At 46.3% G+C, this 17397-nt stretch overlaps 3 annotated features.

Moving 5' to 3' along the window:
* Positions 3725-3774: an enhancer, noted in NCBI's record as "active region_21065". NCBI's record gives its function as "activates an Ori minimal core promoter by ATAC-STARR-seq in GM12878 lymphoblastoid cells {active_cell/tissue: GM12878}" and the evidence as "EXISTENCE:reporter gene assay evidence [ECO:0000049][PMID:35858748]".
* Positions 8055-8243: a silencer, noted in NCBI's record as "fragment chr3:195819312-195819500 (GRCh37/hg19 assembly coordinates)". NCBI's record gives its function as "represses an EF-1alpha promoter that drives an FKBP-Casp9 reporter gene in an ReSE screen in K562 erythroleukemia cells {active_cell/tissue: K562}" and the evidence as "EXISTENCE:reporter gene assay evidence [ECO:0000049][PMID:32094911]".
* Positions 15037-15209: a silencer, noted in NCBI's record as "fragment chr3:195812346-195812518 (GRCh37/hg19 assembly coordinates)". NCBI's record gives its function as "represses an EF-1alpha promoter that drives an FKBP-Casp9 reporter gene in an ReSE screen in K562 erythroleukemia cells {active_cell/tissue: K562}" and the evidence as "EXISTENCE:reporter gene assay evidence [ECO:0000049][PMID:32094911]".

The following is a 17397-nucleotide window of genomic DNA, read 5'->3' as shown; positions in this document are numbered from 1 at the left end:
AAACCACCATGTCTGGCCGACTTGCTTTGTAGTTTTTATATGTGTGTACTAACTGGTGCACACATATAAATATATATACATTAACTATCATGTATGTAACACACATACATGATTCTTGTATAATACATACACACACATAAACACATACATGATTATTAGCATATATATTTATATGTGTGTATATATATACACACACACAGTTGTTAATGTATGTATATTTATATACACATTAATATAAGCAAGAGAGAATTGTGTGTGTGTGTGTGTGTGTGTGTGTGTGTGTGTAGACAACGGTGAGCTACCTGGCTCCCTGGCTTGCCATCCATTCAATCCCAGCACAATGTAGAGTGGTTTCACAGTTGTTAACCCATATCCCCATGGGAAACAATTTTGCTGTTAGAGTTCAGTGCTTATGTACAGTTCCTTTTATTTTTAGTCTTATAGTCTTCACTTATTTCCAAAGTCACTTAGACCAGCGCTTCCCTTCCATCCCCTTCAATACCCAGCACTTCCCTTCCTTCTCTTTCAATATCCAGAACTTCCCTTCCATCCCCTTCAACACCCAGCACTTCCCTTCCATCCCCTTCAACGCCCAGCACTTCCCTTCCATCCCCTTCAACGCCCAGCACTTCCCTTCCATCCCCTTCAACGCCCAGCACTTCCCTTCCATCCCCTTCAACGCCCAGCACGTCCCTTCCACCCCCAACGCCCAGCACTTCCCTTCCACCCCCTTCAACGCCCAGCACTTCCCTTCCATCCCCTTCAACGCCCAACACTTCCCTTCCCTCCCCTTCAACGCCCAGCACTTCCCTTCCCTCCCCTTCAACGCCCAGCACTTCCCTTCCCTCCCCTTCAACGCCCAGCACTTCCCTTCCATCCCCTTCAACGCTCAGCAATTCCCTTCCATCCCCTTCAATGCCCAGCACTTCCTTTCCATCCCCTTCAATGCCCAGCACTTCCCTTCCATCCCCTTCAATGCCCAGCACTTCCCTTCCCTCCCCTTCAATACCCAGTACTTCCCTTCCCTCCCCTTCAATGCCCAGCACTTCCTTTCCCTCCCCTTCAACGCCCAGTACTTCCCTTCCATCCCCTTCAACGCCCAGCAATTCCCTTCCATCCCCTTCAATGCCCAGCACTTCCCTTCCCTCCCCTTCAATACCCAGCACTTCCCTTCCCTCCCCTTCAATACCCAGCACTTCCCTTCCCTCCCCTTCAATACCCAGCACTTCCCTTCCATCCTCTTCAATACCCAGCACTTCCCTTCCATCCCCTTCAATGCCCAGCACTTCCTTTCCCTCCCCTTCAATACCCAGCATTTCCCTTCCTTTCCCTCCCCTTCAATACCCAGCACTTCCCTTCCCTCCCCTTCAATACCCAGCACTTCCCTTCCCTCCCCTTCAATACCCAGCACTTCCCTTCCCTCCCCTTCAATGCCCAGCACTTCCCTTCCCTCCCCTTCAACACCCAGCACTTCCCTTCCATCCCCTTCAACGCCCAGCACTTCCCTTCCCTCCCCTTCAACGCCCAGCACTTCCCTTCCCTCCCCTTCAACGCCCAGCACTTCCCTTCCCTCACCTTCAATACCCAGCACTTCCCTTCCCTCCCCTTCAACACCCAGCACTTCCCTTCCCTCCCCTTCAACACCCAGCACTTCCCTTCCCTCCCCTTCAACACCCAGCACTTCCCTTCCCTCCCCTTCAACGCCCAGCACTTCCCTTCCCTCCCCTTCAACGCCCAGCACTTCCCTTCCATCCCCTTCAACGCCCAGCACTTCCCTTCCATCCCCTTCAATGCCCAGCACTTCCCTTCCATCCCCTTCAACACCCAGCACTTCCCTTCCTTCCCCTTGGATGTTAGGTCATGTTTGTAGCATGGTGAGGTTCTTTATAACAGTTTGCATTCCATCCTGGGAACCCTCCCACTCCCGCTTTAACATTTGCATATATTAAGGTTGAAATTTGTGCTGTAGAGAAATTTGTGCTCTATGGGTTTTTGTTTGTTTGTTTTGTTTTGTTTTAGTGACAGGGTTTTGCTCTGTCACGGAGGCTGGAGTGCTGTGGGATGATCATAGCTCATGAACTCCTGGATTCAAGGGATCCTCCTGCTTCACCTTCCTGAGTAGCTGGGACTACAGGCGCGTGCCGCTCAGCCAGCTAAAGTTTTTTTTTTTTTTTTTTTTTTTTTTTTTGAGATGATGTCTCACTGTGTCGCCCAGGCTGGAGTGCAGAAGTGCCATCTTGGCTCACTGCAACTTCTGCCTCCTGGGTTCAAGTGATTCTCCTGCCTCAGCCTACTGAGTAGCTGGGATTACAGGTACCCACCACCATGCCCAGCTATTTTTTGTATTTTCAGTAGAGACGGGGTTTCACCATGTTGGCCAGGCTGGTCTCAAACTCCTGACCTCAAGTGATCCGCTGCCTTGGCCTCGCAAAGTGCTGGGATTACAGGCGTGAGCCACCACACCCAGCCAGTTCTATGGGTTTTGAAAAATGCAGTCTCATGTACCATACAGAAGAGTTTCGCTGCCCTAAAATATCATATATGGTTTACCTATTCAGCCTATACTTCATTCTCCAAGCCTCTGGCAACCACTGATGTATTTTAGGTCTCTATAATTTCACCTTTTCCAGAATGTCATATAAATAGAATCATTATAGTATACAGTCTTTTAAGACTGGTTTCTGGCTGGGCATGATGATTCACGCCTGAAACCCCAGCACTTTGGGAGGCCAAGGTGGGTGGATCACTGGAGCCCAGGAGTTTGAGACCAGCCCTAGCAACATAGAAAGATCCTGTCTCTACAAAAATTACAAAACAACTAGCCAGGGGTGGGGACGTGCTCTTGTAGTTCCAGCTGCAAGCTGAGGTAGGATGGCTGGAGCCTGGGATGTAGAGGCTGCGGTGAGCCATGGCCACTCCACTGCACTCCAGCCTGGGTGACAGAGTGAGACCCTATCTCAAAAAAAGAGAAAAGAACAAAAAGACTTATCAGGTAAAATGGCCCAGAATCTAAATTTATGGCCCTCTACTAATCTTGCTGTTTCTTGCTCTAATGGATTTATGGCCATGAGAAACTGCAGCGAAGTGAAGGTGTGCCTGGAAGGGAGAGATGGACTCTGATTAATTGTATCAGTCTCCTGGCAATAGCTAACCTTATATACATAAGCATTAAAACCAAATCCAAGGACATCCTGTTTTGGAACATTAAAGTGCTGTTGTCACAGAAAGGAAGGCAGTCCTTCCTCTCTAAATTTATAATGTCAATCATTCCTTTGAGAGTTTTCGCTGGCCCTATATATTTTGCACCTGTTCCCAATAATCCAGATGGTACTGTGGGGGCCAAAGTCCTTGGCTCCCTGAAGTTTCACTAAAAAATCAATTCACAGCTTGGCGCGGTGGCTCATCTCTGTAATCCCAGCACTTTGGGAGGCCGAGGCGGGTGGATCACTCGAAGTCAGGAGTTTGAGACCAGCCTGACCAAAACGGTGAAACCCCATCTCTACTAAAATTACAAAAATTAGTTGGGCGTGGTGGTGCACGCCTGTAATCCCAGCTACTCCAGAGGCTGAGGCAGGAGAATCACTTGAACCCAGGAGGCAGAGGTTGCAGTGAGCCACGATCATGCCACTGCACTCCAGCCTGGGCAACAAGAGCAAAACTCCGTCTCAAAAAAAAGGAGAAAAGAAAACTCCTGTTCTTCTCTAGCCCAGGCCCAGTCTGCAGGAGAGGTTTCAGAGCAGGGTTCGTGTGGACTGGCTGTTGAGCTGCGTCTTCCCAGGGGTTCAGGGGAGTCCACGACAGCTGTAGACTGTTCTTCCGGCTCACAGTTTCACAAACTCAGTTTCGTCAGTTCACCAGAGTCATCAGGTAATTCGCTACCCAAGGGCACAAAATCCCGATTCATGAGGCCTATTTATTAATTCGTGTGGGGTAAGAGAACTGCTGTGCAGGCCAAGTCTTCCTGCTGAGGTCTGGTGTCTTCTCAGGAGGGAAAATTGTTTCAAGATCAGGATTAGTGGATTGTTTGGCAGTTGTGCAGTGGCTGCAAAGTAGCTGAATGGTCTTAGGGACCGTTGCTGAAGCTGGGACAGCCCCAGGGATCGCCCTGGTCCACTGAAAAGCTTAGAATGCAAAAAATAGAATGCATTACAGCTACCTAAAAATAGCTGCCAAGCAGAAACCGCTTTCATGCCAGCTGGCCACACAGGGTGCCCTTTCTGTGGGGAGTGTTGTAGAAACAGCTAATAAAAACTTCTTCCTCTAAAGTCTACTCAAGGGTTGGTCTAAGACCAGCAGCAGCCTGGGTATCAGTTAGGAGCTTGTTAGAAACACCGTCTTGGACCCCCACCAGACCTTCTGAATCAGAATCTGCATTTTAACACGTCCCCTCCATGGGACTTATCTGCACATTAAAGTTTCTTTAAAAAAATATTTTCAAGGGCTGGGTATGGTGGCTCACACCTGTAATCCCAGCACTTTGGGAGGTTGAGGTAGGTGGATCACTTGAGGTAAGGAGTTAGAGATCAGCCTGGCCAACATGGTGAAACCCCTTCTCTACAAAAAATACAAAAATTAGCCGGGCGTGGTGGTGGGTGCCTGTAGTCCCAGCTACTCAGGAGGCTGAGGCAGGAGAATCACTGGAACCCGGGAGGTGGAGGTTGCAGTGAGCTGAGATTGCGCCACTGCACTCCAGCCTGGGCAACAAGAGTGAAACTTCGTCTCTTTCTCTCTCAAAAATAAATAAATAAATAATAAATGAAAATAAATAATATATGTATATGAATATATATATTTTTAAGAAACAAGGTCTCACTCTGTAGTCAAGGCTTAGCTGCAGTGGCACAATCATAGCTCAGAGTAGCCTTGGACTCCTGGGCTCAAGCAATCCTCCTGCCTTGGCCTCCAAAGTGCTGGGATTATAGATGTGACACTGCATGGAGCTCACATGAATGTTTAAGAAGCACTAGGCTAGGCTGGGTGTGGTGGCTCATGCCTGTAATCCTAGCACTTTGGGAGGCTGAGGTGATCATGAGGTCAGAAGTTCGAGACCAGCCTGTCCAACATGGTGAAACCCCGTCTCTACTAAAAATGCAAAAATTAGCCGGGTGTGGAGGCATGTGCCTGTAATCCCAGCTACTCGGGAGGCTGGGGCAGGAGAATTGCGTGAACCCAGGAGGCGGAGGTTGCACTGAGCAGAGATCACGCCACTGCACTCCAGCCTGGGAGACAGGGCAAGACTCCGTCTCAAAAAAAAAAAAAAAAAAAGAAGCGCTAGGCTAGAGTCTAGCCTCTATCTGGATCTCAAAACCAATCTAACCTTTATTCATCTTACTACCTGCAGGAAAACCTGCCTGTACCTTAATAAAGCCAAGGCTAGAGCCAGGCATGCTGGCTCTCACCTGTAATCCCAGCACTTTGGGAGGCCGAGGAGGCTGGAAGATCCTTTGAGCTTAGGAGTTCAAGAATAGCCTGGGCAATATAGTGAGACTTTGTCTCTACAAAAAAAAATTAAAAATTAGCCCAGCGTGGTGGCTCACGCTTGTAATCCCAGCACTTTGGGAGGCCAAGGCTGGAGGATCCCTTGATCTCAGGGGTTCAAAAATAGCCGGGGCAACACAGTGAGACTCCATCTCTACAAAAAAAAATTAAAATTTGACAGGTGTGATGGCACATGCCTGTAGTTCCAGCTACTTGGGAGGCTGAGGCAGGAGGATCGCTTGAGGTTACAGTGAGCTATGGTCATGTCACTGCATTCTGGCCTGTACAGCAGAGCTGTCTCAAAAAATACATAAATAAAATAAAGTCAAGGCTGGATTTCAGACCTTGACACAGAAGTGGTCTGCCTGGAATAGGGGGTTGGAGGGGACCTGGCTAGCAGGATTGGCTCACGGGCCCAGAACTGTCTCTCCCTTTGGAATTCTCTGCTCTCATTGCCTACTTGGGCTCGACCTTATCAGAGAAGCCTGCCCCCCTTCGTAGCATGTTGCTCAGGCTGGCCTCTGACTCCTGGGCTCAAATGATCCTCCTGCCTCAGCACCTCCAAGTAGCTGAGAGTATAAACATGTGCCAGGGTGCCCAGCTATGTTACTTCTGGGAAGCATTCTGGAAGATAGTTGTACCAGGCACACTGTACCTTATAACCTTGTCTTTATATATGGGGATCTTTTGCTTTGTGCTCCTGGCATCAAATTCAGCTATAAAGTTGACTCAAACCTTCCAAGGATGGGTATTGTTGTAAGGTCCTGGTCAGAGCCTGGCAGTACGTCAGCCTACCCTGAGTGCAGAGCTTCAACTACCCGCCTGCTACAACAGTGTTTTCATATTTCCATACCTGAGATATAGTAAAAAGTGGTTTTAATACAGAAACCTGGCCAGGCATGGTGGCTCACACCTGTAATCCCAGTACTTTGGGAGGCTAAGGAGGGAGGATTGCTTGAGCCCAGGAGTTTGAGACCAGCCTGGACAACATGGTGAGATCCCCATTGCTATATCTCTTAACATTTATTTAAAAAAAAAAAAAAAAAACAGAAATCACAGAGATCTGAAGTTAGGGTCTTGCTATTTAAAAGCTGTGCCACTTTCAGCCAATCCTTTTATATTCTTCACACTTCTACTTATTCATCTATAAAATAGGTATGATACCTGTTTCACAGAATTGTTGGGGGCCAAAGTAAGATGATACAAATATAAGTTCCCAGCTCAGTACCTGGACACCATAGGTGCTCAGCGAACGTTACCGCACTCTGACACCTGGGCACCCCAGCCCTGGGATACGGGTCTTCCTACCACTTAGGGGATTGTGTGAGATGAACCAAGGGAAGCCACTCCAGCTCTCACAAATGTAACCACTGTACAGCTGCCTCCTTGACCACATTTCCATGTATAAGAAATACAAGTTTTGGCAGGAACATTTTCCAAACCAAAGGAAAATTTGTCTACTGTGTATATTAAAGCTGAAGAAACCAAAAAGTTTCTGCCTATTTGGTATTTTTCCTGAATACTAGATTTGCTGACTTGGGATTTAGATGTAGACGTCTGTTTGCAAATGTTTTCTTCACACATTTGTTCATTTTTCCTATTTACATCATCAGTCATCCCCACTTCACAATGTTCTTTTCAAAGGCCTCTTTCTTAGTCATTTTTTTTAGGCAATGTTTGGCCATCTGGCGCACAGTTTATCAGAAGTATTATTGCTTAAGGTCCCAGCCATAGAGGAAGGGAAACTCAGACATAAGTGAGAGTTGCAAGCTCAGATGTCAAAAGAAGATACAAATAAGAGGCGGGGTACAGTGGCTGATGCTTGCAGTCCCAGCACTTTGGGAGGCCAGGGTGGGAGGATAGCCTGAGGCCAGGAGTTCAAGACCAGCCTGGTCGACATAGCAAGGTCCTGTCTCTACAAAAAAAGAAAGAAAGATAAAGATGCAAATAAGAAAAACCAAACTGACTAATTTATATTTTGGAAACAAAGTTTTTTTTTTTTTGAAGTATTTATTTATTTATTTTTGAGACAGGCTCTTACTCTGTTCCCAGTGTAGTGTAGTGGCATGGTTACGGTTCACTGCAGCCTCAAACTCTTGGGCTCAAGGGATCCTCCCGCCTCGGCCTCCCAAGTAGCTGGGACTTCAGGAGTGTACCACCATGCCTGGCATTTTTTTTTTTTTTTTGGTATTTTTTTGTAGAGACAGGGTTTTGCCATGCGGCCCAGAAACAATGTTTAATATATATACATTCATACGATAATTTTATCAATTCAATAACTCTCCTTATCAAAGGTAGGTACGCATTCTGGAAATTTAAGCAAATGAGCTAGCTTGCAGGGACAATATGAATGCACTGCATTTCTGTCAAATGGTACCCAGATTTCTGGAGCATCAGTTGTACTACAAACTCTTATTTTTAGAAGTATCTGGGATTCTAGCCAGGCGCGGTGGCTCACGCCTATAATCCCAGCACTTTGGGAGGCCGAGGCGGGTGGATCAGGTCAGGAGTTCGAGACCAGCCTGACCAACATGGTGAAACCTCGTCTTTACTAAAAATACAAAAATTAGCCGGGTGTGGTCGCACTTGCCTGTAATCTCAGCTACTCAGGAGGCTGAGGCAGGAGAATCGCTTGAACCCTGGTGTCAGAGGTTGCACTGAGCCGACATCACACCACTGCACTCCAGCCTCAGTGACACAGAGAGACTCCGTCTCAAAAAAAAAAAAATTAGCTGGGCGTGGTGGCGCATGGCTGTAATCCCAGCTACTTGGGAGGCTGAGGCAGGAGAATTGCTTGAACTCAGGAGGTGGAGGTTGCAGTGAGCTGAGATGGCGCTATTGCACCATCCAGGGCAAGAAGAGTGAAACTCCGTCTCAAAAAAAAAAAAAAAAAGGAAAGAAAAGAAAGAAATATCTGGGATTCCCCACATAGGAATATGAATCCAAATTTTGAAATTAACTTAAATCTGAAGTGAAAAAAAATAGATCCCTCAGATACTAGATCTTCTCAAATGGTTCCACCTAGATGGTCCCTGTACCTCTTGAATAGAAATTCTTCCCTGGGGAGGTGTCTGCAGAGCTGTGCGGGTGGTGCAGTCAGTCTGTGTCATGCCTGGGTTTGTAAGGAGGCAGTGTAGTGGAATTTTTTAGGGCCAGGTTAGAAGCTAGATGACCTAGGCTTGAATTCTTGCTGTCACTATTTATTAGCCATGTGACATGGGGCAAGTTACTTTACTTCTGTATTAAGCTAGTTTCCACACCTGAAAATGGGATTACCTCTTTATTTTTAAGAGTTTTTAATTTTTTTTAAGAATTTATTTTTAAGAATTGTTCTGAGGATTGCATGAGCTCATATGTTTAAAGGCGCTAGAATGGAGCACCTGGTAGATGTACAATAAACCTTGGCTATTTTTATTCAGCTCCAAGGCAAGGATGTTCCTAGCCAAATAGATCAGGCTCTTTTCCACCTCCAGCTGAATTAGACTGGTGATAAGCGGGGACAGATCCTCTTCATACGCTATAGTAGACTGTAACAGTACCTGGATATCACATTCTCCATGATAAAAGGAGCATAGAGGGTACTAGTACACGGCAAAACTAGATTTGGGGCCCAGGTCTTTCTGCTCCAAAGATTGATCTATTCCCTTGAACCCTGCTGAAAACTCAACAGAAGTTAACAATAGACAGTGGCTATTAAGGTAGTGAATATGGTGGCAGACAGATGGCCACCAAAAGCTGCAGCATCTACAACAGGGGAATGATGTTCCTGCCCCCTCTGGATTGGCCAAACTATACTTCCAAAAATGACCAGTGGGGCCTGGCGCGGTGGCTCATGCCTGTAATCCTAGCACTTTGGGAGGCCAAGGCGGGCAGGTCACCTGAGGTCAAGAGTTCGAGACCAGCAAACTTCCGTCTGTACTAACACAAAAATTAGCCCGGCGTGGTAGAAGGCGCCTGTAATCCCAGCTACTCGGGAGGCTGAGTTAGGAGAATCGCTTGAACCTGGGAGGCGGAGGTTGCAGTGAGCGGAGATCATGCCACTGCACTCCAGCCTGGGCGACAAAAGCGAAACTCCATCTCAAAACAAAAAAATAAAAAAAAAAACACACAAAAAAAACCACAAAGTGACCAGTGGGTGGGGAGACATGGAATCACGCCCTGTGGTAACCATTAGAAGAGATTTGGATATTTAGCTGGAGAAGACAGCTGTGAACAGGAGAGCAGTCTTCAAACAATAATTAATTTATAGGATGGGCGTGTTGGCTCACACCTGTAATCCCAACACTTTGGGAGGCTGAGGTAGGAGGACTGCTTGATCCCAGGAGTTTGAGACCAGCCTGAGCAACATAGCAAGACCCCATATCTATTTAAAAAAAATATATATATATATAAAATAATTAATATATAGAAGAGGGAGAGAGAATTTAGTTTAGTAGATCAAACTTTTGTTTTTCTTTTGAGACAGAGTCTCACGCTGTCGCCCAGGCTGGAGTGCAGTGGTGCGATCTCAGCTCACTGCAACATCCGCCTCCTGGGTTCAAGCAATTCTCCTGCCTCAGCCTCCTGAGTAGCTGGGATTACAGGTGTGCGCCACCATGCCTGGCTAATGTTTGTAGTTTTAGTAAAGATGGGGTTTCACCCTGTTGGCCAGGTTGGTCTTGAATGACCTCAGGTTATCTGCCCACCTTGGCCTCCCACAGTGCTGATATTATAGACGTGAGCCACCGCACCTGGCCCAGATAAAAACTTTCTGACAGTTCAAACTGCCCAGGTCTTTCTGCTTTGGGAAATTATAGATTTGCTCCCATTGGAGAGGTAAAGGAGACACTAGATAACCACCTGATGAGGTGAAGTAGAGGAATTTTGTTGAATTAATTCAACATACATTTTTTGAGCACCTACTATAGGTCAGAGACAGTACATTAGTTATATAGTTCCTTCTGAACTTGAAACTCTATTATGCAGTGAGTTCTATTTTGCCTCCGAATGGGACTAAATAGAACTTCATATCCTACTCAAAACTTCAACTTAGACCACTGTACTGGTTGGCATAAATGTCCTTGTAATCAATTTAAAAATTGTCTTTGGCTAGGCATGGTGGCTCACGCCTGTAATCCCAACACTTTGGAAGGCCAAGGTGGGTGCATCACTTGAGGTCAGGAGTTCGAGTCCAGCCTGGCCAACATGGTGAAACCCCATCTCTACTAAAAATACAAAAATTAGCTGGGTATGGTGGTGGGCACCTGTAATCTCAGCTACTCAGGAAGCTGAGGCAGGAAAATCACTTGAACCCGGAAGGTGGAGATTGCAGTGAGCTGAGATCGTGCCACTGCACTCCAGCCTGGGTGACAGAGCACAACCCCATCTCAAAAGAAAACAAACAAACAAACAAAAAAAAAACAAAATTAGTTATCTTTCACTGTCCTAAGTAACCTTTCCATTTGCTATAAAATGGGAGCAAACTCCTCCATATTAATCTGAATCTTGCCCCTATTCCATGTTCTCGTGGGTGACCTTCCGTTTGGCAATGGAGAAAGAAAAAATAATTGAGTCAGCAGGATAAGGACAGGAAACTGAGGGTGGAGAAAAAGAAATGCAAAATAAAATGGAAAATAGTATCAACCTCAAATCTATGAGTTGACAGTCCACCTGCCTTTTTTCTAGGTTGCATCCTCTTCCAAAGTGGCAGAGCTCCACATTTTTATTTTATGACTCTGGTCCTAAAGTGATTGCCCGAGGCTTAGGATTCCAAGGAAAATAAAATGGATCCGGCATGTTAAATAGGAGCTAGGGTCAGAGCTAAAGGTAGGTTAGAGTGATTTCTGTAGAAGCTGCTGTGAAGACCAGCCGTGTGACAGGCAGGGTGCTGCCCTCACTGACCGGAGTGTGTGCAGCTATTTGACAGCATTTGAAAAGACTTCAGGCCGGGCATGGTGGCTCAAGCCTGTAATCCTAGCACCTTGGGAGGCCGAGGCAGAAGGATCCCTTGAGCCCAGGAGTTTGAGACCAGCCTGGGCAACATAGGGAGACCCTCGTTCTACATATTTTATTTTAAGAAATTTAAAAAAGTAAAAATAGTGAAAACACTGGGTGTGGTGTCTCACGCCTGTAATCCCAGCACTTTGGGAGGCTGAGGCGGGTGGATCAATGGGGTCAGGAGTTCGAGACCAGCCCGGCCAACATGGTGAAACCCCATCTCTAATAAAAATACAAAAATTATCCAGGCGTGGTGGTGCGCCTGTAGTCCCAGCTACTCAGGAGGCTGAGGCAGGAGAATCACTTGAACCCAGGTGGCAGAGGTTGTGGTGAGCCGAGATTGCATCACTGCACTCCAGCCTGGGTGACAGAGTGAGACTCCATCTCAAAAAAAAAAAAAAGATTGAAAAGACTTTCTCTCTGCCTTCTAACTCAGCCTCCCAACTCATTAAAAACAAACAAACAAGCAAACAAACAAAAAAACCGTAACCAATATTTGCTGAAATGTAGGGCGGTAGAAAGTTGAAACAGCGACAAGCAGAAAGAACAGGGAGAAACCTTGGGAATTGAAATTTAACTTTGAGCATCATTTATCCTGTTCACTAAAAAGTCATTTATCCTGTTCACTAAAAAGTCTTGTGCTCTGAGAGAGGAAATGGCCTAGGACTATGCTTTTCAAAAATAGGTTACGGCCCATTGGGAAATCAATTGAATGGGTTAAAAATTAGCATTTTTACTATTAAATAGAATAGAAAATTCTGGAGGGCTTTCCACACCTCAAGGGTATTATTTCATGAAACTTTTACTTTGGGTTTCAAGGAAATATACACATATATACACACACATCCACGTGGGTATACTGAAGGAAATATACACGTGTATACACACGCATACACACACGCATACACATGGGTGTACTGAGTTGTGAAGTAAGATGGACATTTGTCCATGAAATGCAGTAAAAAACGTTTGAGAAATGCTGAACTAAGAGACTTCATCTGCTGTTTGGGCCACAGGTAGGACCCCAGAAAGAGCAAGTGGCAACTTTGTAACTCTATTACAAAGTTGGCAAATTAATGGTATTTTTGTGGGATTTTTTTTTTTGAGACAGTCTCACTCTGTTGCCCACGCTGGGTGCAGTAATGCAATCCCAGCTCACTACAGCCTCAGCCTCCCAAGCTCAAGCCATTCTCTCACCTCAGCCTCCAGATGCCCAGCTAATTTTTTGTACTATTGGTAGAGATGGGGTTTCGCCATGTTGTCCAGGCTGGTCTCGAACTCCTGCACTCAGGCCATCCATCTGCCTCGGCCTCCCAAAGTACTGCGGATTACAGACATGAGCCACGGTGACTGGCATTATATATTTATTATTATTATTATTGTTATTATTATTATTTGAGAAAGGGTCTTGCTCTGTTGCCCAGGCTGGGTGCAGCAATGCAATCTTGGCTCACTACAGCCTCAGCGTCCCAAGCTCAAGCTGTTCTCTCACCTCAGCCTCCAGATGCCCAGCTAATTTTTTGTATTTTTGGTAGAGATGGGGTTTTGCCATGTTGTCCAGGCTGGTCTCAAATGCCCGCACTCAGGCCATCCACCTGCCTCGGCCTCCCAAAGTACTGGGATTACAGACATGAGCCACAGTGACTGGCATTATATATTTATTCTTATTATTCTTATTATTTGACACAGGGTCTTGCTCTGTTGCCCAGGCTGGAGTGCAGTGGTGCAATCTCGGCTCACTACAGCCTCAGTGACTGGCATTATATATTTATTATTATTATTATTTGAGACAGGGTCTTGCTCTGTTGCCCAGGCTGGGTGCAGTGATGTAATCTCGGCTCACTACAGCCACAGTGACTGGCATTATATATTTATTATTATTATTATTATTATTATTATTAGTTGAGACAGGGTCTTGCTCTGTTGCCCAGGCTGGGTGCAGTGGTGCAATCACAGTTCATTGTAACCCTGAACTCCTGGGCTCCAGCCATCCTCCCACTTCAGCCCCCAGAGTAGCTGGGACTACAGGCAGCACCACCACACCTGGCAATTTTTAAGTTTTTTTTGTAGAGATAGGGGGTCTCACTGTGTTGCACAGGCTGGTCTTGAACTCCCGGCCTCAAGCAATCGATCCTCCTGCCTTGGCCTCTTGAGTGCTGGGATTAGAGGCATGAGCCACCGCACTAGGCCTGGCCTTTAAATATAAGTTCTTATAAATATACATTATGCTTCCCCAGCTACATTGTTTGCCTTTTCAGGGGTACAGACTTGCTTCTTACCTCTTTACACGTCCTTTTCCAGCACATAACAGTACTCGATAAATAATGATGGCATTACCTTTCTGTATCCACTATTATCAATGACCAAGTCACTTTTTCTGGAGTAGGTGCATTCAAAAGCCGTTGAAGGGCCGGGCGCGGTGGCTCACGCCTGAAATCCCAGCACTGTGGGAGGCCGAGGCAGGCAGACCACGAGGTCAGGAGATCGAGACCACCCTGGCCAACATAGTGAAACCGCATCTCCACTAAAAATACAAAAATTAGCTGGGTGTGGTGGCAGGCACCTGTAATCCCAGCTACTCGGGACGCTGAGGCAGGAGAATCGCTTGAACCTGGGAGGCGGAGGTTGCAGTGAGCCGAGACTGCGCCATTGCACTCCAGCCTGGGTGACAGAGCGAGAAAAAAAAATTTTCCTTTTCTTTTTTTTTTTTTAAAGCTTCGACCCGTCACCACCACATTTATTCACTTAGACTGGGCTCTGCACTAGTAACACCTTAAATTTGTATAAACATGTAGTTTAATAAGTTTTCTTACTTTTTATTTCACTGGTAAATGAATGAAGGCAATAAAGGGATATTATTTCCACATGGCAGACAGGGAAAATGAAGTACAGAGCCATGACTGACGCCCATGTTTCCGCAGCACAGTGGGTGACAGTCCCACTGGGACAAGTTGCTAATTTCTAGGCGGGGGCTTTTTATTTTATTTTTGAGGCGGACTCACTTTGTCACCCAGACTGGAGTGCAGTGGCCCAGCCTCAGCTTACTGCAACCTCCGCCTCCCAGGTTCAAACGATTCTCCTGCCTCAGCCTCCTAAGTAGCTGAGATTATGGGCACACAAAACCACGCCTGGCTAATTTTTGTATTTTTAGTAGAGACAGTGTCTTGTCATGTTGGCCAGGCTGGTCTCGAACTCCTGACCTCAAGTGATCCTCCTGCCTCTGCCTCCCAAAGTGCTGGGATTACAGGCGTGAGCCTCCATGCCCTGCCAGCTGGGGCTCTTTCACTAGGTAAGTGGCTTATCTGGTTTGCTTTTCCTGCCAGTTCTCTCTCACCAAAAAGCAAGACTTCTGCTTTCATCTCTTGGTGAAGAAAAAAGAGAGGGAGGCAGAATTTTGCCGTTAATCATCCTGCACTGTTGTTTCCAGCAGTAATTCCCCTGAATTAGCTGTCAGACATCTCCTTAGGAATTTTAACACACACCACAGGCTCCTTCTCACTACAGAGCCTTCAGGTGGCCGGTTCTCCTCTGCTGAAATGCCTTCATCCTTCCTCTTCATGAGCCCACATCCATCCCAGTCTGCAGACATCTTCCACGTCACGTTCCTACCTGACCCCACTCCGCCCCACGAGGACTCTGATTCAACCATGCTGACCAACAGTGTATGATGTGCCAGTCATTGCTTTTAGGGTCTTCTAGACCCTAAAAGAGGTATTTTTGGAATGAGGTATTTTTATTCCCATTTTATTTTTTGAGAAGGAGTCTTGCTGTGTCTCTCAGCCTGGAGTGCAGTGGCACAATCTCAGCTCACTGCACCCTCTGCCTCCCGGGTTCAAGCGATTCTCCTGCCTCAGCCTACTGAGTAGCTGGGATTACAGGTGCCTGCCACCACACCCGGCTAATTTTCGTATTTTCAGTAGAGATGGGGTTTCACCACATTGGTTAGGCTGGTCTCGAACTCTTGACCTCAAATGATACGCCCGCCTCAGCCTCCCAAAGTGCTGAGATTAGACGTGTGAGCCACCGTGCCCAGCCTTTATTCCCATTTTAGAGCTGGTACAACCCAGGCTCAGGAAAGTTGAGAACTCCAGCTTCTTGGCCCTCCAGGCTTTGTGCTCTTTTCTTTTCCCCACAGCTCATGGTATCTTTTTCCTTGCCAACCTCCTTCCCTTTATGAAACTTCTCGTATTTCTGTGTACGATGCAGAAGAACTGCAAGAGTTTTAGTTCCAGGATGAGGTAAGCCTCATGGAATAGTTTGTGGAGGGTTGGAAATTAAATAATTTCCAATAATAATTTCGAATAATTTGGCCAGGCTCGGTGGCTCACGCCTGTAATCCCAGCACTTTGGGAGGCCAAGGCAGGCAGATCATGAGGGCAGGAGTTCACGACCAGCCTGGCCAACATGGAGAAACCCCGTCTCTATTAAAAATACAAAAAATTAGCCATGCGTGGTGGCACGTGCCTGTAATCCCAGCTACTCGGGAGGCTGAGGCAGGAGAATCGCTTGAACCCAGGTGGAGGTTGCATTGAGCCGAGATGGCGCCACTGCACTCCAGCCTGGGTGACAGAGTAAGACTGTTTAAAAATAAATAAATAAATAGTAAAAGTGTTAATAAGTGGACTTTAATTGCAGTGTCTATTAATACTAATAACAGCATAAAAATAAAAATATAATTGATAGCCTCTTTAGTGTCACGTTTATGGTTTTATTTTAGTGAATATAAATTTTTGAGATTTGAATTTTCATGTCCAAATGGTCCTGGCCTCTAAATGTCTCCTAAACATATTTTTCTTTCTTTTCTTTTCTTTCTTTCTTTCTTTTTTTTTTTTTTTTTTGAGACAGAGTCTTGCTCTGCTGCCCAGGCTGAAGGGCAGTGGTGTGATCTCAGCTCACTGCAGCCACCCCCCTCCCGGGTTCAAACGATTCTCCTGCCTCAGCCTCTGGAGTAGCTGGGACTACAGGTGTGCGCCACCACGCCAGACTAAATTTTGTATTTTTAGTTGTGATGGGGTTTTATCATGCTGGCCAGGCTGGTCTTGAACTCCTGACCTCAGAAGATCCACCTGCCTCAGTCTCCCAAAGTGTTGGGATTACAGGGATTAGCCATCGCATCTGGCCACCTAAACCTATGTCCTCCATGAGGCTATAAGATTTTCACCTGCAAATACCAGCATTGTTTGTTTCTTTTTAAAAGATACTTCAGTCAAGGAAAGGCAGAAAGCCAGGCATGTTAGCTCATGCCTATAATCCCAGCACTTTGGGAGACCGGAGGCAGGAGGATTGTTTGAGCCCAGGAGTTCAAGACTAGTCTGGGCTACATAGCAAACCCTGCGTCAAATTAAAAATAAAAAATAAATAGGCTGGGCATGGTGGCTCATGCCTGTTATCCCAACATTTTAGGAGGCCAAGGTGGGCAGATCACCTGAGGTCAGGAATTCGAGACAAGCCTGGCCAACATGATAAAATCCCGTCACTCCTCAAAATACAAAAATTAGCCTGGCATGGTGGCACACACCTGTAGTCCCAGCTACTTGGGAGGCTGAGGCAGGAGAATCGCTTGAATCCGGAGGCAGAGGTTGCAGTGAGCCCGAGATCATGCCACTGTACTCCAGCCAGGGTGACAGAGCAAGACACTGTCTTAAAAGTAAAAATAATAAAAATAAATAAAATTAATAATTAAAGAAATAAAGAAGGAACACCACAGGGGAGCAGGCCTGGTGTCTGAATGTTAAGGTAGGCCCTCTGTGGATGTGCATCCTTAACCTTTTCCTGATTAGATCATTAAAGGTGCAGCAATGCTCCTGCTCATATGACTTTTTTTTTTTTTTGAGATGGAATCTTGCTCTGTCGCCCAGGTTGGAGTGCAATGGCGCGATCTTGGCTCACTGCAACCTCCGCCTCTTGGGTTCAAGCGATTCTTCTGCCTCAGCCTCCTGAGTA

This window comes from Homo sapiens, chromosome 3, assembly GCF_000001405.40.
Source record: "Homo sapiens chromosome 3, GRCh38.p14 Primary Assembly".
Classification (NCBI taxonomy): Eukaryota; Metazoa; Chordata; class Mammalia; order Primates; family Hominidae; genus Homo; species Homo sapiens.
Note: the sequence above shows the minus strand (reverse complement) of the source record. Positions and strands in the feature narration are given on the sequence as shown.